The following is a 25,488-nucleotide window of genomic DNA, read 5'->3' on the forward strand; positions in this document are numbered from 1 at the left end:
GCTTTGATTAACAGGGCCCAGGACACAGTAAGCCTTTGGCAATTAAGCTTTTACAAAAATATGCAGTTTTTAATGTCATTGTTGTTGTTCCTGTTGCAGCATTTTCCCTTGCCCTCTTTGCCTGTTCTCTGATTGTTCCTTAGCAAAGAGCAAAGAAAAAAACCAAACGTTCCAAAGTCGAAGACTTTTCCTTTGATACAAACAAGCGAAAGTTCGATTATTTGTTCAATAATTTTCCGTTGATCCCTTAGTCTTGTAGTCGCTACTTTATAACCGGTCCCTAGAAGGGGGCGGTTCTTTCCGGAAATTATGACTGCAGCTGTTTTCACTCCGCTGTGACTCAGAGCGCTCCGGGCTGCAGGAGAGGAAGGTAGGGGACCAAGCTACCGGTGCAGGGCCTGGATCCAACCCCTGCTCTGGAAGACTGAGAGCTCCACATTCTAGCTCCCTTTCCCCAGTCCCCAAATTTGTAGGGGCTCCTTGAATTGCACGCCCCATGGGTGGAGGATTTCATCCTGATGTATGATCCCCAGGAAGGTTCCTGCAAGTTTGGCAGTTTAGGGGAATCTTTTGGAGGTTGAAGGAGGGATTTAGCCATCTCCTAATCTCAAGGCCCTTCTTCCTACTTTCCTTCTCTTTTACTTTACTTTTTTTCCCGCTTTCTTTCTTTGATATAGACAATTGATGTTTTCTCAGTTTCAGGATAGTGTAAGCTGAGGAAATGAGGCTGTAAGCCTCATCTACTCCAATCAGTTGCAGCCCCTAAGCCCTTCTCTATAGAAATGTAAGAGACCGACGCAGTCTCTTCTGTAAATACGTGGACATTGGAAATCTAGGACTGAATGGAAAGGTTAAATCAATCTCTGATTTTATCCAAGCCCCACTTCTTACCCCAAATCTCCTCCTTGTCTGGTTCCGAGTTCTCCACTTCACCCCTGCCACAGGCCGCAGGGGTGTGTGTGGCCGGTGGTGCCACCCAGCTCCCCTCCCACCCTCCTAGCTGCTGAGCGGCTGGTGCTGGGACTCTGCATTCCTGAAGCAGCTACCTGGCTAGGCCGGAAGCCTTGTATTCTCCCAGCTGCCTCAGATTCATGGCTTTCAGCTTGGTGGCCAGTCTCTACCTAAGCCTTGCAAGTTGCCTTTCTGAAGTGCCATCCTGAGAGACAGAACTAATTCTGACCCAAACTAATTTTGTTTGTACTGGGAAGAGTGGGGGCAAGGGTGCAGAATAGCAAGTTTTCCTCAACGGAGGATTTGTTCTGAGCTTAGAATCAGGAAGCGAAGGCTATTTCCTTGTAGGGGTGCCCTTTGCGTCTCTCTCTCTTTTACTCTAGCCACCTTGGTGAGTATTGCCCAGCCTGAGAGCTTCTCTTTCAGCTGTTTTACTCCTGTGTGAGTCTCCTGCTTTAGGCTCTCTGCTTAATGTGTTATTAGAAATTCTTCCCTCCCCCAGCCCAGCCTGTTCTACCAGAGAACTTGCCCAGGTCAGAGGTCTGCGTAGAAGCCCTTTTCTGAGCATCCTCTCCTCTCCTCACACCTGCCACTGTCCTCTGCGTTGCTGTCGAATTGTGAGTCATTTTGCCACACTCAGTTTTTATCCAATTTCTCAAAATAAAAACAGATATGGAATGAAAAGCCTGATTTATTGGTGCTGTTTAGTGGGGGTGCAAATGTAGGCTATGTGCCTATATAATATTTAAATATATTAGAATATCTTGGATGGATACAAACAAATATACTCGTATCTTTTAATTTTGGGTCCCAAAAGAAAAGCCACAAGGTAAATGGCCTGTGGCAGGAGTCCATCTTGAATCACACAGCTTCTCACATGCAGCGCGTCTCTGAATGCCATGATCCAAAGTGAATGGTGGCAGAGGTTTATTGATTAACAGTAACAACAATAATAGGGACAATAGTGATGTCTGTCATCATTGATTAAATGCCTCCTATGGCCCATGTGCTATTGTAGGGACTTCACATGTATTAATTCACATACGATGTGTGGATATTATACTACTCATTTTGGAAAGAAAATACTGAGGCTCAGAGGGATTAGTGACACCTACTCCATATGCCCAAGGAGTGGTGAATTAAATACACTTTTGAGAAAGTGGAATTGGTATTTGAACCAGCCTCAGGGTGTTTCAGAGATTTCCTGTTTAGTAGATACCAGTGAATCTTACACCTTCCCCACCTGGGACTGCCATTTAAAAGGACCCTTATGACTGAAATCTTTGTCTCCTTTTTTTTAAAGGTTCCAACTTCCTAACTCCAACATTAACCCTTTGAATGTATTCTTATGCCAGAGAAAGGCACATAAAGTACTGGTGTTTGAACAGATAACTTCCAACATGTCCTCTGTTTGTGATATGTCTTTTCTGCAGAAATCTTGCATCACCATGGTGCACTTCTGTGGCCTACTCACCCTCCACCGGGAGCCAGGTAAGCCTAATTTGTGACTCTTACTTGCCATTGAATCTTTGGCACCTATCACAAGGCTTGATCTACAAGGAGGCAATCTATTGAAGCTTGATGAACTTGAACTCTGGTCTATCTCCAGTGCCGCTGAAGAGTATCTCTGTGAGCGTGAACATTTACGAGTTTGTGGCTGGTGTGTCTGCAACTTTGAACTACGAGAATGAGGAGAAAGTTCCTTTGGAGGCCTTCTTTGTGTTCCCCATGGATGAAGACTCTGCTGTTTACAGCTTTGAGGCCTTGGTGGATGGGAAGAAAATTGTAGCAGAATTACAAGACAAGATGAAGGTAGTAGAGATTACCTCCTCCCTTCTTATTACATTACCTCCTCCCTTCTTATTTCCTTAATGCATACTCTTTATGATCTCTACTAAATGTACCTTCACAAAACATGCTGATGTTGAAAGCTCTTTCTTCCACTCTTTTCTAACTGCCATTTTTCTAAAATCATTTGGGGAAAGAAATCAATCAGAGGCATTCAGAGTATAGCTGTGATTAGACAAGACCAATCACACAGTCGCTCTGCACTGCTCGTCTCTTTTTCAGCCATGTCACCTTGGATGTTCCCTTTCTTTCCCATCCCTCGCCCTGTGCTTCTCAGGCCCGCACCAACTATGAGAAAGCCATCTCCCAGGGCCACCAGGCCTTCTTATTGGAGGGGGACAGCAGCTCCAGGGATGTCTTCTCTTGCAATGTGGGTAACCTCCAACCTGGGTCGAAGGCGGCAGTCACCCTGAAGTATGTGCAGGAGCTGCCTCTGGAAGCAGATGGGGCTCTGCGCTTTGTGCTCCCAGCTGTCCTGAATCCTAGATACCAGTTCTCTGGTGAGTACCTCTCCCCTTTGAATTCTAGTGGTGGGTGACATAAATGGGGAAATTTTCTTAAGGTTGAGAGTGTCATAAAAAGTGTTGGCAAGGAAAACAGAACTAAGGTCATCTTTTATAGGGTCGTCTAAGGACAGTTGCCTTAATGTGAAGACTCCTATAGTCCCTGTGGAGGACCTGCCCTACACACTCAGCATGGTCGCCACCATAGATTCCCAGCATGGCATTGAGAAGGTCCAATCCAACTGCCCCTTGAGTCCTACCGAGTACCTAGGAGAGGACAAGACTTCTGCTCAGGTAGTTAATGAGAGAATACTGCTATTGTCAGTACCTCTGTTGCTTGAGTCTTGACTTGGTCCCCAACCAGTTCTTCCCAAGTGGTAACCCAGAGGGGGTCCCACATGCTCCTTGCATATCGTCATTTAATCTCCAGAGCCTTCTCTCCAGCCTCACCTCTGTTCCTAGTCATGCTGTCTTATGGAGGAGGACTGCGCCCTAACCTCAGCCCCAAGAAGCAAGAAGTTATGATTCTAATGTGGCTCCTTTACCTGTCCTCCACTCAGGTTTCCCTGGCTGCTGGACACAAGTTTGATCGGGACGTGGAACTCCTGATTTACTACAATGAGGTGCATACCCCCAGCGTGGTTTTGGAGATGGGGATGCCTAACATGAAGCCAGGTATTTTCTTTCTTCCTTTGTAGTCATCCCCTAAGGGGCAACTCCCTGTCTTGGAATTACTGTCGAATTACTCTCTTTTCTTTCCTTCCCTCCAGGGGTGGTTAATACATGTGAAACACTGAAATAGTTTACACTATGTCATGCAAAAATGGTTAGGTTTAATGACTGTCATGTGATATGTCTTGTAGGCAAATTTAAGTAGATCAGTAGATAATTGGGCAAAAGCCAGGAACAGATAATTTACAAGAGAAAACATGGCCAGTTTATAAACATGTGGCAATGATCAGTCTTGACAGACATCCAAATAATCATGTGACATTTTCACCTTTCAAATTATCAACGATTTCCAAATCTGATGCCTCATGCTTTAAAAGGTTTTCTTAAGGTTGTGAGTGTGCTAAAAAGTGAACTAACCTTTCGAGGATAAATTTGGCCATATGTGTTAAATCAATGTTAACTTTGGTAATTTCACTTTTAGAAATCTTGCCTAAGGAAGTAAATCCATATATAAGTAAAAATATGCACTGAGATGTCCCCCACCATTTTAATAATATCGAGTATTAGTAAGCAATCAAAATGTCTCTTATTGGCTAAATTTGCTATGCTAGGTATACTTCATGAGTTAATATGCAGCTACTAAAATAGTGTATATTGACAGATTGAAGTAATTGGACAAATGACCTCCAAAGAATGTTACGTAAAAGAAAAGTAAGTTATAGACAGATTACCACTATAAAATACTCTGTGCTTTAGGAAAAACATTTTAAAACACAGGAAGAATGCAAGTAGTCATTGTGATTAGATTGACTAAGTTTAATTCTTAATTAAGAAAGTTCTTAATTTCTTTTTTATCTAATACATAATTTCTATTGATTGATTCATCACAGCTACATGCAGTCTCAACTGAAGTTTTTTTCTCTTTTCGAGATATAATATATGTAACAAAATTGACCATTTTAACTGTTTTTAAGTGTACAGTTCTGTGGTCTTCAGGACATTCACCTTGTACAACCATCACCACCCTTCATCTCCAAAACTTTTTTGTTTTGCCCTAGCTTCTTAATTTCTAAGACTAAGTTTAGCTTCTTAATAACTTTAGTTTCTTAGTTTCTTTTAATGTTTATTACTTTTGAAATTTTCCTTAATGTACATGCACTCTTTCTTGGAATTTAAATTGGTGTAACCCATGTCAGTTTGCTGTGTTCTTGGGGCCTTCCTGGGCTGCCATGCTTCTGAGTTTCGGTGACACAGGACTGGAGTGCTATTGCCACTTCTGAAGCATTTACACATGGTGGAATGGACATGTCCTTGGTGACAATCATATTCAAAGTGGGACGGCTTGGCTTAGGCTCTTGTTTTTACAATTATAGCTGTTGTCAAGAAAATTCCCTGTAGTTGTTTTTCTACAGAGTACCCTACTCTCTCATTGTTAATGTTTGCTTCCAAAGTAGCTTCATACTTGAGCTCACAAATTGAACTTTTTAGTTTTCCCTCACTTGTTCAACCACTCTTCCTCAGGGCAAGCTCTCCATGCTAAGGTCATTCAAGGGGCTCCCAGCTTCCACCAGATTTGCTGTAACCATCTCCTCTTCCACGAAGCTCCATGCTCTGTCTTTGTACGTTAGTTATCTGCTTTTTCCTTTCCTTATGGTGACTATTTCCTTGGGTGTCCATGAAATATTCCCATAACAGTGACCTACGTGTCAGTTAAGATTATTTCAAAGGACTGTTTTCACCAGAGAAAGTTCCATAATGTTGGATCTCAAAAGGTAAGGATTGAGATCTCAGTCCCTGTTTTTCTAAGAAGTTCCCCTGGCCCCTATGCAGATTTTCTCATCTAGTCCCCATGACCAGGTCTGAAGGCCAAGGGGGGACATCAGGGACAGTCTTTACAGTCTTGTGAATCCCTTCCAGCAGGACTGCTCAAGTCTTGCTTCCCAGGTCGTATATTTAGTCAAGATGACTTGCTGTTCTCATCCACACAAGGAAGCGAATGACAGCTTTAAGCGGCAGCTTGTCTCACTGAAACCATTCAGAGTTCTGCCAAATGAAACCTACAGATATATGACAAAAACACAGTATGTTATTTGTTTTACAGACTTAGAACAGATGTACTTACGATATTAAGAACATGTTTTTCTAAAATTAAATTTATAATTTAATTTAAAAATTGTATAAAAATAAAATTTACAAATAATTTTATAATATTGGTTATTATGGGTTTAATCTGAGTTGAGCCCTAAACTGAGTTCCTTAAGTACATTATATTACTTAACTCTTACAATCAAGCTTGTTCAACTCATGGTCTGTGGGCTGCATGTGGCCCAGGACAGCTTTGAATGCAGACCAACACAAATTTGTAAACTTTCTTAAAACATTATGAAATTATTTTGTGATTTTTTTTTTAGCTCATCAGCTATTGTTAGTGTTAATGTATTTTATGTGTGGCCCAAGACAATTCTTCTTCTTATATGACCCTGGGAAGCCAAAAGATTGGATACCCCGGCTTAAAATAATCTTGACGTAGGTGTTACTACCTTGACTTTTCAGAGGAAGACATGAGGCTAGCAAGCAGAGGAGCTAAAGTTTGAAATGCCTCATTTGAAAACAAAGAAGCTGAGACTCATGGAGGTGAAAATAATTTGAGCCAGGCTAAAATTATAGTAGATAATCCACATATAACGCTTACAATTCATCTGGCATTGTTGTAAACAGGTTAAATATGTTACCCCATATCATACTCATGCCACCCTTTCTGACTCCTCAATATAGCACCAGCTCCATTTAAACCAGCTGTCTCTGAGAATGGAAAGGAATCTTGCTCATCACAAAAGCTCCTCCTCCATCGTATATCCAGACATCTGGATTGTGTAAATGTTATTTTTTGAACTAGTGTCCTATCATATATTTGATGGGCAACACCCATCTTATTTAGAAGCCAGTTTGGTGTCTGGCATATCCTATGGAGAAGAAATTAAACTGAGCCAGATTCTATTGTCATACCAAATCCCAGGACTACTGAGAATATAAATCTATGATCCTGGAACTGCTTCTTAAAAATGGGATAAAGGAATTTAATTATATAGCCTCTTATATTTTCTGTAAAGCTGGAGTTAACCTAGCCATTCTCATTGCATCTCTATCTCAATACTAGCATTTCAATTCCTGTATCAGCCCTCACTTGCTTCTAAAAATAGTCACAGCTGTGGCTTTGACAACATGGCCAGATAGACTGGGCTCCTGTGGTCACCCCCACACCATTGTTTGGATGATGATAATAGAATCCAACATGTGTCTCAGTGTTTCCCTTTCTTCTGGGGACTATCAGCGAGTTATTCACACCCAAAGCAGACAGACTTACCTTGGTGGGTATAATACTTATACTCTCAACACTTGTAAATTGTCAACCTAAAAATTGTCCATGTGAGTATCACTTTTTTCAAAGCTGTAATTAAAGACTTAAGGCCCATGTGATACATTTCCCATTTATTTGATTTGAAGAAAAGGTTTGATTCTGCAGATAAACTTGTCTGATTCTTTTGGCAAATGCTGGAACATTTTAACCTAATGTATTTCATTCATTTGCCTAGCTGCCAGGAAACTAGTAATCAGTGACAATGTTTTAACTATTGCTTGTGTCTACTAACTTCTATCCTCTTTCTTCTCTTTCATATCTGTTCTGTTTTTGTCTGTCTTATATATTTATAACTCACCTTGACCCCATTGCAAGCAGTTATGGTACATGAATCATCACAGTGTTTTAGATTTGAGTTTTCCTAGCTCTTAATTGAATTCACTACCATTGATTCTTAGGTACTAGGATTCTTGAGTTCCTTTTTGTCTTACAGTGGCTTTATCCTTTCTGAACAGGTCATTTGATGGGAGATCCATCTGCAATGGTGAGTTTCTATCCAAATATCCCAGAAGATCAACCATCAAATACCTGTGGAGAGTTTATCTTTCTCATGGACCGCTCGGGAAGTATGCAGAGCCCCATGAGTAGCCAGGATACATCTCAGCTGCGAATACAGGCAGCCAAGGTAAAGCTAGTTTCTTTCCTCTTCTGGGTCACATGCTCAAGTGAGGATGAATCTGAGGGGTTAAATAAGGGTCTATCTGGAGCCTGAGAGAGCAGCACGACCACCCTGAGGCTAGCCTTGGAATGTAAGAAGGCACAAGGTGGGGGATGGCCCACATCCTCAAGAGTCGATTGACAGGGCCCATGTGTTTTGGCGAGCCTCTCTCACTCTGTCTCTTCATACTCTCTTACCTTCAGGAAACACTGATTTTGCTGCTGAAGAGTTTACCTATAGGCTGTTATTTCAACATCTATGGATTTGGCTCTTCCTATGAGGCATGCTTTCCGTAAGTTTCTGGAAAGACAATAGGGAGTACAAAACGAGACTTTAAAGAAAGGGACTAAATTGTTAAAGGGGTTACTGCGGAGTTGACTTTGGCATTGGGGGTTTCGGATAAGACTCTCTTTTAATGGGGGTTTCTCAATTCAGGGACTCTATACTGGGCAAGGTTAAGTAACCCTCATGTAACTGGGTGTGTTTGTTTTTCTCAGGGAGAGTGTGAAGTACACTCAGCAAACAATGGAGGAGGCTCTGGGGAGAGTGAAGCTTATGCAGGCCGACCTAGGGGGCACTGAAATCTTGGCACCACTCCAGAACATTTACAGGGGACCCTCCATCCCAGGCCACCCCCTACAGGTAAGAAGTGGAACAGAGCTAACAGAAGAGACAGGAAGTGTGAAATCTCTAAGAATCTATGCCCCTGAGCTTCATGCAGTATGTTGAAATATAGTTTGCAATTCACAGTCTTCTATCATATAGTAAACAGAAAAAAAAAAGATGATGCATTTGTCTTCTTCCTTAACTCCATGCGATGGACACTGGAAGGCCTTTTATGGAGTGCCACAATAACTGAGATGCAGCTAGGAGGGGAGGTGCTAAAAATTCCCAGGGTTCTGAACAGATCATGTGAGAATGTGGTGCCAGCGACTGAAACATTAGGGATTTCATGCCTCTTTGAAGAGGCACCAGAGCCTCTGCAATGAAATAGGTGGATTTTTCAAGGGCAAATTCTGGTTTCTTAAAAAGAACTTGACAAAGACCTGATGAACATTTTCTTTCTTTGTATAGCTTTTTGTCTTTACAGATGGAGAAGTTACAGACACGTTTAGTGTAATTAAAGAAGTTAGGATCAACAGACAGAAACACAGGTAGGAAGAAAATGTGATTTCCGGGTGATTGGTGCTGAGTAGTGACACACAGACTCTAGTGCTACATGATGCCGGTGTTGACCTTCCTTCAAGAGGACCAAATGATTTCAGAATTTAGTTTTAGCAGCTGAAAATTTATTTCTCCCTGTAAACGTTAAAAACAGTTTTCCAAATAACATCAACAACACAGCAAAACCATTGTTTCTTATTCTTTCTAAACTACAACGAACACAAGAATTGAATAGTAAGATGTTAATTTTTTTTACTATAAACATTTTTAGAGAAGTAAAACATGCTGAAAACTACACAAATTATAAGCATACAACTGGACTCATTATCACAGTGAATGCACTGTGTGATCGCCACATAGGTAAAAACTGGAATGGTCGTAGGCCTCTCCATCTGTACCCTTTTCCATCATGTCCTATTCCCTGTCACTACACACTAAAACTTTCCTGACTTACAATACCATGGGTTATTTATGCTTGTTTTTGAATGAAAATAAATAAGTTATACAGTATGCTTTTGTTTCTGTGTATATTATTTCTTTCCTTTCAGCAGTGTGTTGAGAGATTCATATACATTTTGAGTATAGCCATAGTTCATTTTCATTGATGTATAGTATTCCACAAAATGACTATGCCATAATTTATATATTGATTTTAATGCTGTTGGACTTCGATTTGGCTGTTAAAAATGATGCTGCTGTGAACAGTTTTGTATTCTTGTACATGTATTGTTTTGCACACACGTGTATATGCATACATACCTATTTATATACGTAGATTTTTCTCTGAGTAGACAGAATTGTGGAGTTTCTAGGGAATGCCAAACATTTTTCCAAATGATTGTACTAATTTAATTCATTAAATTGTAGGAGTGTTCCAATCGCCTAATTTCCTATCCAAAACATGATATTGTTTGTCTTTAAATTTTAGTTTTGTGTGTGTGTCGTGGTGTCTTATGGTTTTTTTTTTTTTTCTTGAGATGGAGTCTCGCTCTTTCGCCCAGGCCGGACTGCAGTGGCGCTATCTCGGCTCCCTGCCATCTCCGCCTCCTGGGTTCACGCCATTCTCCCGCCTCAGCCTCCCAAGTAGCTGGGACTGCAGGTGCCCACCACCGCGCCCAGCTAATTTTTTTGTATGTTTAGTAGAGATGGGGTTTCACCGTGTTAGCCAGGATGGTCTCGATCTCCTGACCTCTTGATCTGCCCGCCTTGGCCTCTCAAAGTGCTGGGATTACAGGCGTGAGCCACCGTGCCAGGCCCCTTATTATGGTTTTAACTTACATTTTCCTGCTGATGAATGAAGTTTAGCACCACTTCATATTTACCCGCCAGTTGGATGTCCTCTTTTGTGATGTGCTTTCAAGTCTTTTTCCTGTTACTTATTTATTTCTATTAGATTGATTTTCTTATTGATCTATATAGTTCATTCTGTAGTCTGGATACAAGCTCTTTGTTGACTGTATGTTCTAGAAATACTCTATAGTTTGCTCTTAGCTTCAAAATGTATTTGAGTAATAGTTGTTAATTTTAATGTAGTTTGATATTTTTCAGTCTTTTCCTTTATGGTTAGTGTTTTCTGTGTCCTGTTAAAAAGTCTTTCCCTATCCAAAGTTTCGTATTTTTGTAATGTGGATATCAAATTGACCCTATTCCATTTATGGAAAAGTTTGTCCTTTTCTCAGTAATGCACAGTGTCATCTCTGTCATCAATAAGCACCTGTATACATGTACATTGTTTCTGGGTCCTCTGTTCCATTGCATTGGTCTATTCATCTAGACGTGTGCTAGAACTACACCATATAAATTAGTACAGGTTCATGATAAATCTTGGTTTCCAATAGTGATAAGTCCTCAATTTTGTTCATTTCATAACCAAGACTGTCTTGATTACACTTGACTCTTAGTATTTGTATTTTAGCATTAGCTTGTCAGTTTTTACCAAAAAAGGAAACCTATTGGTATATTGGCTAGAACTGCATTGACTAGATCTATTTAAGCAGGACTTACTATTTACTATATTGAGCATTCCAGTCTATTTACATAGTATATCCTTTCATTTACTTTGGTCTTTTCTGATTTCTCGAAGTGTTTGTTTCCAACATTTTATTAAGAAACCTTAAACATATAGAGATCTTGCAAAAATACAACAATGGGGGCTGGCCGCAGTGATTGAAGTCCTGTAATCCCAGCACTTTGGGAGGCCGAGGCAGGCAGACCACGAGGTCAGGAGTTTGAGACCAACCTGGCCAACATGGTGAAACCCTGTCTCTACTAAAAATACAAAAATTAGCCAGGGCATGGTAGTGTGTGCCTGTAATCCCAGCTATCAGGAGGCTGAAGCAGGAGAATTGCTTGAACCCAGGAGGCAGAGGTTGCAGTGAGCCGAGATCACACCGCTGCACTCCAGCCTGGGTGACAGAGCAAGAATCCTTCTTGAAAAAAAAAAAAGAACAATGGACACCATATAACCTTCACCCGGGTCTACCAGTTGTCAACCTTTTACCACATTTGTTTCAGCTATGTTTTTTGTCTGAAATATTTGAGGGCAAACCACAGATGTCATAACCCTTCATATATAAACACTTATGCACTCATCTATGAACAAGAACATTCTGCTACATCACAATACAACTATTAAATTCAAGACATTTAAAGTTGAGATAACACATTATCTAAATGCAGGCCATATTTGTCAATTTTTCATTATGTTCTTTTTATTAAGTTCTGGGATGCATGTGCAGAACATGCAGGTTTGTTACATAGGTATACATGTGCCATGGTGGTTTGCTGCACCCATCAACCCATCATCTGCATTAGATATTTCTAATTCTATCCCTCCCCTAGCCCCCCACCCCCTGACAGGCCCCAGTGAGTGATGTTCCCCTCTATGTGTCCATGTGTTCTCATTGTTCAACTCCCACATATAAGTGAGAACATGCAGTGTTTGGTTTTCTGTTCCTGTGTTAGTTTGCTGAGAATGATGGTTTCCAACTTCATCCGTGTCCCTGCAAAGGACATGAACTCATCCTTTTTTATGGCTGCATAGTATTCCATGGTGCATATGTGCCACATTTTCTTTATCCAGTCTATCATTGATGGGCATTTGGGTTGGTTCCAAGTCTTTACTATTGTGACAGTGCTGCAATAAACATATGTGTGCATGTGTCTTTATAGTAGAATGATTTATAATCATTTGGGTATATATCCAGTAATGGGATTGCTGGGTCAAATGATATTTCTGGTTCTAGATCCTTGAGGTATCCCCACACTGTCTTCCACAATGGTTGAACTAATTTACACTCCCACAAACAGTGTAAAAGGTTTCCTATTTCTCCACATCCTCTCCAGCATCTGTTGTTTCCTGACTTTTTAATGATCACCATTTTAACTGGCGTGAGATGGTATCTCATTGTGGTTTTGATTTGCATTTCTCTAATGACCAGTGATGAGGAGCTTTTTTTCATGTTTGTTGGCCACATAAATGTCTTCTTTTGGAAAGTGTCTGTTCATATCCTCTGCCCACTTTTTGATGGGGTTGTTTGTTTTTTTCTTGTAAATTTGTAAGTTCTTTGTAGATTCTGGACATTAACCCTTTGTAAGATGGATAGATTGCAAAAATTTTCTCCCATTTTGTAGATTCCCTGTTCACTGTAATGATAGTTTCTTTTGCTGTGCAGAAGTTCTTTCGTTTAGTTAGATCCCATTTGTCAATTTTGACTTTTGTTGCCATTGCTTTTGGTGTTTTAGTCATGAAGTATTTGCCCATGCCTATGTCCTGAATGGTATTGCCTAGGTTTTCTTCTAGGGTTTTTATGGTTTTAGGTCTTATGTTTAAGTCTTTAATCCATCTTGAGTTAATTTTTGTAAAAGGTTTAAGGAAGGGATCCAGTTTCAGTTTTCTGCATATGGCTAGCTGGTTTTCCCAACACCATTTATTAAATAGGAAATCCTTTCTCCATTACTTGTTTTTGTCAGGTTTGTCAAAGATTAGATGGTTGTAGATGTGTGTCATTATTTCTGAGGCCTCTGTTCTGTACCATTGGTCTATATATCTGTTTTGGTACCAGTACCATGCCGTTTTGGTTACTGTAGCCTTGTAGTATAGTTTGAAGCCAGGTAGCGTGATGCCTCCAGCTTTATTCTTTTTGCTTAGGATTGTCTTGGCTATATGGGCTCTTTTTTGGTTCCATATGAAATTTAAAGTAGTTTTTTCTAATTCTGTGAAGAAAGTCAATGGTAGCTTGATGGCAGTATGGCCATTTTCACAATATTGATTCTTCCTATCCATGAGCATGGAATGTTTTTCTATTTGTTTGTGTCCTCTCTTATTTCCTTGAACGGTGGTTTTTAGTTCTCCTTGAAGAGGTCCTTCACATCCGTTGTAAGTTGTATTCATAGGTATTTCATTCCTTTGTAGCAATTGTAAACGGGAGTTCTCTCATCATTTGGCTCTCTGTTTGTCTATTATTGGTGTATAGGAATGTTTGTATTTTTGCACATTGATTTTCTATCCTAAGACTTTACTAAAGTTGCTTATCAGCTTAAACAGATTTTGGGCTGAGACGATAAGGTTTTCTAAATAGACAATAATGTCATCTGCAAACAGAGAGAATTTGACTTCCTCTCTTCCTATTTGAATACCCTTTATTTCTTTCTCTTGCCTGATTGCCCTGGCCAGAACTTCCAATACTATGTTGAATAGGAGTGGTGAGAGAGGGCATCCTTGTCTTGTGCCCGTTTTCAAAGGGAATGCTTCCAGCTTTTACCCATTCAGTGTGATATTGGCTGTGGGTTTGTCATAAATAGCTCTTATTATTTTGAGATATGTTCCATCAATACCTAGTTTATTGAGAGTTCTTAGCACAAAGGGTGTTGAATTTTATCGAGGGCCTTTTCTGCATCTGTTGAGACAATCATGTGGGTTTTGTCATTGGTTCTGTTTATGTGATGGTTACATTTATTGATTTGCATATGTTGAACTAGCCTTGCCTCCCAGGGATGAAGCTGACTTGATCATGGTGGATAAGCTTTTTGATGTGCCGCTGGATTCGGTTTGCTAGTATTTTATTGAGGATTTTCACATCCATGTTCATCACGGATATTGGCCTTAAATTTTCTTTTTTTGTTGTGTCTCAGCCAGGTTTTGGTATTAAGATGATGCTGGCTTCATAAAATGAGTTAGGGAGGATTCCCTCTTTTTCTTTTGTTTGGAATAGTTTCAGAAGGAATGGTACCAGCTCCTCTTTGTACCTCTGGTAGAATTCAGCTGTGAATCCTCCTGGTCCTGGGCTTCTTTTGGTTGGTAGACTATTAATTACTGCCTCAATTTCGGAACTTGTTATTGGTCTATTCAGGGATTCGACTTCTTCCTGGTTTAGTCTTGGGGTGGGGGGTGTATGTGTCCAGGAATTTATCCATTTCTTCTAGATTTTCTAGTTTATTTGCATACAGCTGTTTATAGTATTCTGTGATGGTAGTTTGTATTTCTGTGGGATCAGTGGTGATACTCCCTTTATCACTTTTATTGTGTCTATTTGATTCTTCTCTCTTTTCTTCTTTATTAGTCTGGATAGCAGTCTATTTTGTTAATCTTTTCAAAAAGCCAGCTCCTGGATTCATTGATTTTTTGAAGGGTTTTTTCTGTTTCTATCTCCTTCAGTTCTGCCCTGATCTTAGTTATTTCTTTTCTTCTGCTAGCTTTTGAATGTGTTTGCTCTTGCTTCTCTAGTTCTATTTAATTGTGATGTTAGGGTGTCGATTTTAGATCTTTCCTGCTTTGTTCTGTGGGCATTTAGTGCTATAAATTTCCCTCTAAACAGTGCTTTAGCTGTGTCCCAGAAATTTGGTGCATTGTGTCTTTGTTCTCATTAGTTTCAAAGAACTTATTTATTTCTGCCTTAACTTTGTTATTTACCCAGTGGTCATTCAGGAGCAGTTGTTCAGTTTCCATGTAGTTGTGCGGTTTTGAATGACTTTCTTAATCCTGAGTTCTAATTTGATTGCACCGTGGTCTGAGAGACAGTTTGTTATGATTTCCATTATTTTGCATTTGCTGAGGAGTGTTTTACTTCCAATTATGTGGTCAATTTTAGAGTAAGTGTGATGTGGTGCTGAGAAGAATGTATATTCTGTTGATTAGGGGCAGAGAGTTCTGTGGATGTCTATTAGCTTCACTTGGTCCAGAGCTGAGTTCAAGTCCTGAATATATTTGTTAGTTTTTTGTCTCATTGATCTGTCTAATATTGAAAGTGGGGTGTTAAAGTCTCCCACTATTATTGTGTGGGAGTCTAAGTCTTTTTGTAGGTCTCTAAGAATTTGCTTTGTGAATCTGTGTGCTCCTATATTGGGTGCATATATATTTAGGATAGTTAGCTCTTCTTGTTGCATTAATCCCTTTACCATTATGTAATGCCCTTCTTTGTCGTTTTTTATCAAAAAGCCCTTGAAGAAATAGTTTTTAGTGAATATTGTTTTTAGTGAAAGCAATAAATAAAAATCAATATTTGAGTGTTACGTCTGTTCCTTACTATTGGGCTGTTATTTATTCTTGGCATTTTCAACAGACAGAACTGGCAAATGTTTTTAAAAAATTCTGAAATTTTTACTTATGCCCCTGCTTCAAAGGTAGCAGTGTAGCATTCTTCCTCTTTTCTCCAATTCTGTATTTATGTCTTCTTTTCTACAGTGAGATAAACCTAGCTTCCAGCAAAATCAGTAAACATACTCATTTCTTCAATCTACCTATAAGTAGTCCACCCTTATCCATCAGGTATACCTTCCAAGACTCTTAGTGGGCGCCTGAAACTGTGGATACTATACCAAACCGTATATGTACCAATTTTTTTATACATACATACTTATGATGAAATTTAATTTATAAATTATAAATATCTATCTGATACCTGAGGCTGCTACTAAGTGATTAACGGTAATACAGATAGCATGGAGATGCTGGATAAAGAGGATTCATGTCCAGGGTGGGATTGAGCAGCATGGCATAAGATTTCATCATGCGACTCAGAATGGGATGCAATTTAAAATGTATGAATTGTCTATTTTTGGAATTTTTTTATTTAATATGTTTGGACTGCAGTGGACCGCACATAACTGAAACTATAGAATGTAAAACTGCAGATAAGGGAAGCCTTCTGTACACACAAAATCTCTCTGTAATATTTTATAATTCTCTGTGTAGAGGGCTTCATGCATTTTTTTATTAAATTGTTTCCCTAGGTGTTTGATGCTACTTTAAATAGTATTTTTTAATAATTTTATTTACTGGATGTTTATTTCCATATAGAAATGAATTTTAATAGCTTGTTTTACCTTGACTTGTATTTAATGATGTTAATTAATTTAGATATTAATTAAATTATATATTTGCAGACTCTTTTAGATATTCTATGAAGAATCACATTTGCAAAAAATATCAGTTTTATTTTTCTTATTTTTTAAAATTTTCTCTTTTTCTTATTTTTTTTTAAAAAATTTTCTTCCCTTCTGGATTAGCCTGGAGAGAACCTCTAACAGAAATCTGAATCAAAATGATCATATCCTTATTTTATTCTGGACCTCAAAGGGAACATTTCAACTTTGCACGATTAAGTATGGTGTTTGCTGTAAGGGTTTCCCTTTTTTTGTAGTTATCCTTTCTATGATTAAGGAAATTCCCTTTTATTTCTGTTTTGAGGGTTCTTTTCTCTCTTTTCTTTCTTTTGTTTTGAATAATTAATGATTGTTAAATTTCATCAAATGTATTTTATGCATCTGTTTAGATGAATGTGTGATTTTATCCTTTATTCTTTTAAAGTGTGAATTCTAATGATAATTCTTAAATGTTAGACCAACCTTGAATTTCTGGAATAAACCCAAAGTAGTTGTGATGTATTAATCTCTTTCATATATTTTTTCATTCAGTTGGATAATACTTTTTTCAGGATTTTGAATCTATTTTCATGGGAAATATTGACATATATTGTCTTATCTTGTTAGGTTTTGATATCAATTTTATGCTAGTATCATAAAATGAGCTGTGAAGGTTGCCTTTTTTCCTTGCTCCAAAAGGTTTTCTTTCATAAATATTTATTAGAATTTGCCAGCAAAGCTCTCTTGGCCTGGATTTTTTTGAGAAAGTTTTTGTTTTGAACTATTCATATTTTATGTGTTCTTATTTTTTATAAAAGTTTGTATATTTTATTGAAGTTCTTTGCATGAAATTGTCCATGATATTGCCTAATAATGTTATTAAATTTTGTAGAATATATAGCGATATTACCTCTTCTTTCCTAATGTTGGTTATTTGTGCCTTTTCTATTAATATTTCTTTCCTTGCACTGGATATTTATCAATTTTAATAATAATTTCAAAACACCAGCACCTTTGGGTTTGTTGGTACTTTCTATCATATAAGTGTTTTCTATTTCATTAATATCTGCTCGAATCTATCTTTATTATTTTCTTTCTTTTACATTCCTTGGGTTCATTGGCCATCCTTTTTTAACATCTTGAGACAGATGCTTGATAGTTGATTTTTAGACTTTCTTTTCTAATGTGTATATTCAGAGCTATAGATCTAAGCACATCTGTAGCTGAATTTTAAATATGGATATGACATTTGCCATTGTCATCCACTTAATATTTTCCAATTATCATTATGATTTCTTTTTTAAGCTTGTATAATTCACAAGTACAGTGCCTAATTTCCCAATATTAGAGGATTTTCTATTTTTGTTAGTTGTCAAAGAAAAAATTATAGAAATTAGATGTTCCTCTAGATGATGTCTTCCCTCTGAGAGGATTCATTCTTTTCATTCTTTGCTTCTGAATGGTCGCTGGATAGACTGGGAACAGATAATGTTAATCCAGTCAGGGTCTGATGAACTTCAGTCGCGGTGATGGCTGGTCTATTTCTGATTCACCTCTACCTCTGGGATGTAGTCCTTTAGGGTTTTATCCTAAATTCTTAGTTGTTTACAAGAACACTTTGGCTGTGGAAAGTGCAAATTGATATTTTGTTCCTCCCGCCTGCGTGTAACCACTTAGGTTTTAAGTCATCTGCTTTTGTACTTGGCACTTGCTTCAAAGGGTCAAGGAACATCAGATGCTGGGCTCAATTCTCTTGGCTTCTCTCTTCTCCCAGGTCTTGGCCTATAGATTTTTATCTTGGTAGACCTTTGATGTTTTCAAACAAATTATTGTAAATATTGTATACAGCTTTCCTAGTTCTTTGCTGGCTTGAAACAATTTACAGTGGCATTGCTGTGAGCAGAACTTTCCTAGGGTGTTATATTTTAAGTCAGAAGTCATTGATTTAAGTTACAGTTCTTCTGCTTGCCTGCAGAAGATGAATCAGCTCATCTCTCCATGCCTTAGTTTCCTCACATGAAAATTAGAAACCTAATAGTACTCACTTTACAGATTTATTGTTATGGTTAAAAGAGTATACTTAGGGAAAGTATTAGGAACTGTGCTAGATAAAAAGTAAGTGCTATATAAAATTTTGCTATTATTGTAATATTTTAATTTTTATTATCATCCACATGCAGCACTGTCGTGAGTTCTAGTTAGTCATCAATATATTTTTGTTGTTGTTGTTTGATTGTTTAGAGACCGGGTCTGTCACTTTGTTGCCTAGGCTGCTCTTGAACTCCTGGCACTGGCTTCCCAAAGTGTGAGCCACCACACCCAGCCAATATTGTTTAGTTTTGATTTTATACAAAAGACCTTAAAAATATAACAGCACTTTATAACATAGGCTACAATTCAAAGATCATGTTAGAAATTTAAAGGTTGTGATATCAAGATGCTGTCAGGCTATAGTATTTAGGAAGTATTGTTACACGTAGGTCCAGTTAGAAGTCTGTTCCTGAGTCTTACAAGCGTAGAGCATTGATCCTAATGCTGATGCCACTAGACTTGGGGATGATGGCTCACACTAAGAAAGACTGATACATAAACCAAAATTGCAGGGTATTAATTTACAATGAAAACTCTGTCTGTCATGCCTTCCAAAAGCGCCTGTGCTAGTACTACCAATGTATTCTTTGTTTATATATAATTCTATTTGGGAAATCGCATTATGTTTAAGAAGTTACTTGGTGCACATGGACTAAGGCAGGGCAAGAACTCTCCATTTAGAAGTGCAGGAGGCACACTTCCTTTCTCTAAGAATAGTCTTGCTAGGGGAGATATGGTACCAGCACATCATTAGGTAGGAACTGGTGTTAGTTTCTATCTTTCTGTTAGTTTGCCAGAGAGATCTTGCAGTAAGACAGATCAGTGCTCCAGTGACATTGCTATCATTTAGTAGTTGCATGATCTTGGAAAGATTTCTTAAATTTCCTGGGCCTCCATTTCTTATCTGCAAAGTGAAGCAGAAGCCTGCCTTTTAGGGGTCTTGTGATGATTAAATTGCATCATTGATTTAAGGCATTTTTATACCTCCTAAAATATAGAATATGCTCAGTAAATGGTAGCTGTTACACTTTTGGTCAAGAAAGTAGACTATTTCCTTATGTATTTTTGGCCATTATGTATTAATTTTATATTTTCACTGTTTAATGCCTTCCTCTAACCTCTGTCCTGTTACAATTGCAGGTGTTTCTCATTTGGTATTGGAGAAGGCACCTCCACCAGCCTAATAAAAGGTATTGCCCGGGCATCAGGGGGCACCTCAGAATTTATCACAGGCAAAGACAGGATGCAGTCCAAGGTGAGGGACAGACTGACTGTGTCTGTCTGGAGGTGGCAATCCAGACCAAAGTGGAACGGGGTGGGGAACACTGTGTAAGGGCAGGGGTAGCAACTTTCCTCCAGGATACCTGTTCCTATATCCCCAAGGCCTTAGGCTGTATACTTAGTCAGGCTACTTTTGGCCTCATGTAATAGAAGCCCACTGTAGTATCTGGAAATATGACATCTGGTCCCAGTAGCTGCAAGCTCAGAGACAAGATGCTGACAGGGATCTGGGCCTTTGCATTTAAGACCAGACACAGACAAACTAAGAGCTTTGACTGTCAAGACTGAGATTCTAGGTCTGCGCTTTAGAACCTCTTTTGTACTACATGCATCCTCCATGCAAAAGATACAAAGAAAAGGAGAAGGAATAATCATGATATGTCTAATGGATCGGAAGAGGTAGTAAATTGCTATTCCATTTCATCTTTCTGCAAAAGGAGAAGACCCCTCTGGTGGTATTTCTTTTTTTTTTTTTTTTTTTTTTTTCTGAGACGGAGTCTCGCTCTGTCGCCCAGGCTGGAGTGCAGTGGCGGGATCTCGGCTCACTGCAAGCTCCGCCTCCCGGGTTCACGCCATTCTCCTGCCTCAGCCTCCTGAGTAGCTGGGACTACAGGCGCCCGCCACTACGCCCGGCTAATTTTTTGTATTTTTAGTAGAGACGGGGTTTCACCGTTTTAGCCGGGATGGTCTCGATCTCCTGACCTCGTGATCCGCCCGCCTCGGCCTCCCAAAGTGCTGGGATTACAGGCGTGAGCCACCGCGCCCGGCCTCTGGTGGTATTTCTAAGCTCCTCTTTCCCAGTAGGTGCCACCTTTATCTAATCCCCTTCTCCAAGGGTCTCGTTACTCAAACATTTTCTTTATTTACATTTACGTTACTAAATATTTCAGCTTTGGCTTATTCATATGCAAAGCTTCTTCATATATAAAGCCCATCTCCTAGAATAGTATTGAGGAGTAGGCATGACATGTATTATGTATCACATCTGATACATAATAAATGTCCAGTTAATTGTAGCTGCCATTGTCTGTATCATTTGTGTTTATTCTGTTCTCTTCCCCACATTAGGCTCTCAGGACTCTGAAACGCTCTCTGCAGCCTGTGGTAGAGGATGTCTCTCTGAGCTGGCATTTGCCTCCTGGTCTGTCTGCTAAAATGCTTTCCCCAGAACAGACTGTCATCTTTAGGGGTCAGAGATTAATCAGCTATGCCCAGCTGACCGGGAGGATGCCAGTGAGTTCCCATTCTTATTTGTTCCTCTAGTCAAAGAGCTACCACATGACCATTCCACTAAAGCTGGTAGGTGGATTTCAATCTCAGCCAGAGACGGCACTTGCCAAGTATAGCTAGCCTACTTCCTTCCCATCATTTCAGGTCTCCGGTTTCCTAGGCTACCTGATTCTTCATCAGATATTTTCATACATTGTTTTGGGTACCTGCCCCTGTTCTGATCCTTCCATGGATGATCAGAACATTACATGTTCCGTCATTTCTACTCATCTCTAATTTGCAGGCAGCAGAGACAACAGGAGAAGTATGCCTCAAATATACACTCCAGGGCAAGACTTTTGAGGATAAGGTGACATTTCCTCTACAACCCAAGCCTGATGTCAAGTGAGAATTCAGTTTTCCCTTCCTTCCTTCCTTCCTTCCTTCCTTCCTTCCTTCCTTCCTTCCTTCCTTCCTTCATTCCCTCCCTCCCTCCCTCCCTCCCTCCCTCCTTCCTTCCTTCTTTCCTCTGCCATCTTTGGGGATTAGATTTCTTCTCTTAATTCTGGGCTCCATTGTAATTGTTTTCCTACAATCATTTTTTATTTCTAAACCACCCAAGTCTTCTCTCTCCCCTTATCTGACTTTATCTTAACTCTTCTATTCCTAACTTTTAGGAGCCCTGAGAAACTGGTATATGGATGTCTTTCCCTACATTTCAGTACTTTTTTTTTTTTCCTTTCAGCCTCACCATTCACCGCCTTGCTGCCAAGTCCTTGCTCCAGACCAAGGACATGGGCCTCAGGGAGACTCCAGCAAGTGATAAAAAAGATGCATTGAACCTTAGCCTTGAGTCTGGTGTCATAAGCTCCTTCACAGCTTTCATTGCTATCAATAAGGAGCTCAACAAGCCGGTTCAGGGGCCTCTGGCTCATAGGGACGTCCCAAGGCCAATTCTGTTGGGTGCTTCTGCCCCATTGAAGATAAAATGCCAATCAGGTAATGAGTTTTATTCCATTCAAACTCATATAGAATAAAAGATTCTGACTATCTGAGCACATTATTTAAAGGAAAGGGCTGTGAAATGTTCTCAAATTGCTTTGTTTTCCTTATACCTCCACATCTAGGATTTCTGGTTAGTGTTAAATTTTTCTGTCCCAGGGAACTAGAATGCATCCCATTGGCAAGGAGATTTAAAATAATCCAAGAGAAAACAAAAAACAAACATTAAAATGTAGAAAGTGCAGGTAAACCCTGAGTAACCAAACTGCCTAATCTGAAGCTGATTTATCTTTTTTATTGAGATATAATTCAAATATCATACAATTCACCCATTTAAAGTGTACAGTCCAATGGGTTTTAGTATGTTCACAGAGTTGTGCAACCATTGATTGCCACAATCAATTTTAGAGCATTTTCATCACCTAAGAAATAAACTTCATAACTATTAACAGACATTTCCCATTTCTCTCCCTGACCCCACCTATCTTCTCCTCCACTCCCCTCTCCACCAGTCCCAGTAATCACTTACCTACTTTCTATCTCTATACATTTGCCTATCCTGTCTTTATATATTTGTTCTGGACTTATTTTCCTTCTTTGTTTTTGAGACAGGGTCTCACTCTGTTGCCGAGGCTGGAGTGCAGTGGCACAATCATGGCTTACTGCAGCCTCAACCTCTCAGGCTCAAGCAATCCTCCCACCTCAGCCTCCTGAGTGGCTGGGACTACAGGTGCATGCCACCATGCCCAGCTAATTTTTTTGTATTTTTCGTAGAGATGGGGTTTTGCCATTTTATCCAGGCTGTGGCTGGCTTATTTCACTTGACATAATGTTCTCCAAGTTCATCTATGTTGTTGCAAATAACAGAATTTTGTTCTTTTTTATGGCTGAATAATGTTACATTGTGTATATATAGTACATTTTCATCATTCATTCATCCACTGATGGATACCTAGGTTGATTCCATGACTTGGCTATTGTGAATAGTGCTGATATCTCTTTGATATTACTGATTTCTTTTCTTTTGGGTATATATCCAGCAGTGGGATTGCTGGATCATATAGTACCTCCATTTTTAACATTTTAAGGAGCCACAGTTTTCCACAATGGCTATACTAATTTACATTCTCACCATGGTGTGCAAGCATTCCCTTTTCCCCATATCCTCACCAGTACTTGTTATCTTTTGTCTTTTTGATGATAGCCATTCTGACAGGTATGAGGTGATATCTCATCGTGGTTTTGATTTGCAATTTCCTGATGATTGGTAATGCTGAACATTTTTTCATATACCTATTGGCCATTTGTATGTCTTCTTTTGAGAAGTGTCTACTCAAGTCTTTTGTCCATTTTTAAATAAGGTTATTTGCTTTCTTGGTTTTGAGTTAAATTCCTTCTGTACTTTGTATATATTAAACCCTTATCAGATGTTTGGTTTGCAAATATTTTCTCCCATTCCGTAGGTTGTTTCTTCACCCTGTTGATTGTTTTCTTTGCTATACACAAGAGGTAACCTCGTTTATCTATTTTTTGCTTTTGTAGCCTGTGCTTGTGAGGTCATATCCAAAAATCATTGCCCAGACCAATGTCATAGATATTTTCCCTTATGTTTTCTTCTAGTTGTTTCACAGTTTCACCTCTTACACTTAAGCCTTTAGTTCATTTGAGTTGGTTTTTCTATGTGATGAGAGATAAGGGTCTAATGTTATTCTTTCATATGTGTGTATCCAGTTTTCCCAATGCCATTTATTAAAGTGACTGTCTTTTACCTATTGTGTTCTTAGCACTTTTGTCAAAAATTAGTTGGCTGTAAATGTGTGGATTTATTTCTGGGCTCTCCATTTCTGTTGCATTGGTCAGTGTCTGTTTTTATGCAAGTACCATGCTGTTTTGGTTACTATAGCTTTGTAGTATATTTTGAAGTCAGATAGTATGATGCCTCCAGCATTTTGTTTGTGTGTGTGTGTGTGTGTGTGTGTGTGTGTGTTTTCTCAAGGTTACTTTGACTATGTTTTTATAATTCCATACAAATTTACGATTTTTTAATGCTGTGAAGGTTGTCTTTGATATTTTCATAGGTATTGCATTGAATCTGTAAATTGCTTTGGGTATTATGGCCATTTTAGCAATATTTATTCTTCCAATCCAAGAACATGAGATATCTTTACATTTATTTGTGTCTTCTTCAATTTCCTTCATCAATGTCTTACAATTTTCAGTATAGAGATGTTTTACCTCCTCAGTTAAATTTATTCCTAAATGTTTTAATTATTTTGTAGCCATTGCAAATGAGATTGTTTTCTTGATTTCTGTTTGAGAGAGCTTGCTGTTTGTGTATAGAAACACTAATGACTTTTGTATGTTGATTTTATGTCCTTCAACTTTGCTGAGTTTGTTTATTCTATTTAACAGGTGTTTTTTTTTTGGTAGAGTCTTTAGGGTTTTCTATGTTTAAGATCATGTCATCTGCAAACAGGTGTAGTTTAACTTCCTCTTTTCCAATCTAGATTCTTTTTATTTATTTCTCTTGCCTAATTGCACTGGCTAGGACTTCCAGTACTATATTGAATAGAAGTGGTGAAAGTCAGCATCCTTGTCTTGTTTCTGATTTTAGAGGAAATGCTTTCAACTTTTCCCTCTTCAATATGATATTAGGTGTGAGTTTGCCATAATTGTCTTTATTATGTTGAGGTACCTTACATCTATACCTATTTTGTTGAGAGTTTTTATCATGATGTTGAATTTGTTTAATACTTTTTCTGCATCTATTGAAATGATCATGTTTTTGTCCTTTTTTATGTTAGCGTGATCCATGTTTATCAATTTATGTTTATTGAACCAACTTTTCATCTCTTGGATGAATCACATTTGATAATGATGCATGATCATTTTAACGTACTTCTGAATGTGGTTTGCTAATATTTTGTTGAGGATTGTGCATCTATGTTAATCAAGGATATTGGCCTGTAACTTTACTTTTGTTGTTGTATCTGGTTTTGGTGTCAGGGTAATGCTAGGAAGCTTGTTTTTAGGGTAACACTAGAGAGCTTGATGGAAGCAAGCTGACATATAGGAAAAAAAGTAGAGAAGTCAAGAACTTAGTAGTCCAGATGAGGTCAAAGATCAGGTAAAACAGAAATCTCTAACTTAGAAAACTGAAAAAATCAGATATTATATTTTAAAACTAGGAATTTTTAAATTTTTTTTTTTGAGTCAGGATCTCACTCTGCTGCCCAGGTTGGAGTGCAGTAGTGTGATTGTAGTTCACTGCAGCCTCGATCTCTTGGGCTAAAGTGATTCTCCCACCTCAGCCTCCTGAGTAGGTAGGA

The 25,488-nt window shown here is 38.8% G+C and overlaps 1 protein-coding gene across 4 annotated transcripts in view; it reads left to right on the forward strand.

Moving 5' to 3' along the window:
* Window positions 1-337: 337 nt before the first annotated feature.
* The window catches only part of VWA5A (von Willebrand factor A domain containing 5A), a 32,272-nt gene continuing 7,121 nt past the window's right edge, over window positions 338-25,488 (forward strand). Inside the window, exons 1-15 of one of the 4 annotated variants that reach the window (XM_011542828.3) lie at window positions 338-370; window positions 1,454-1,568; window positions 2,255-2,442; window positions 2,561-2,763; window positions 3,077-3,299; window positions 3,421-3,596; window positions 3,863-3,977; window positions 7,848-8,017; window positions 8,254-8,342; window positions 8,548-8,692; window positions 9,125-9,204; window positions 19,808-19,922; window positions 21,017-21,181; window positions 21,462-21,562; window positions 21,903-22,156. In XM_011542828.3, the coding sequence (XP_011541130.1) occupies window positions 2,352-2,442; window positions 2,561-2,763; window positions 3,077-3,299; window positions 3,421-3,596; window positions 3,863-3,977; window positions 7,848-8,017; window positions 8,254-8,342; window positions 8,548-8,692; window positions 9,125-9,204; window positions 19,808-19,922; window positions 21,017-21,181; window positions 21,462-21,562; window positions 21,903-22,156 (1,927 nt within the window). In that variant the 5' untranslated portion in view covers window positions 338-370; window positions 1,454-1,568; window positions 2,255-2,351. Of the gene's footprint in view, window positions 371-1,453; window positions 1,569-2,254; window positions 2,443-2,560; window positions 2,764-3,076; window positions 3,300-3,420; window positions 3,597-3,862; window positions 3,978-7,847; window positions 8,018-8,253; window positions 8,343-8,547; window positions 8,693-9,124; window positions 9,725-19,807; window positions 19,923-21,016; window positions 21,182-21,461; window positions 21,563-21,902; window positions 22,157-25,488 lie in introns of those variants that run through there. The other 3 variants (NM_001130142.2, NM_014622.5, NM_198315.3) reach the window with 3 other exon arrangements.

This window comes from Homo sapiens, chromosome 11, assembly GCF_000001405.40.
Source record: "Homo sapiens chromosome 11, GRCh38.p14 Primary Assembly".
Lineage (NCBI taxonomy): Eukaryota > Metazoa > Chordata > Mammalia > Primates > Hominidae > Homo > Homo sapiens.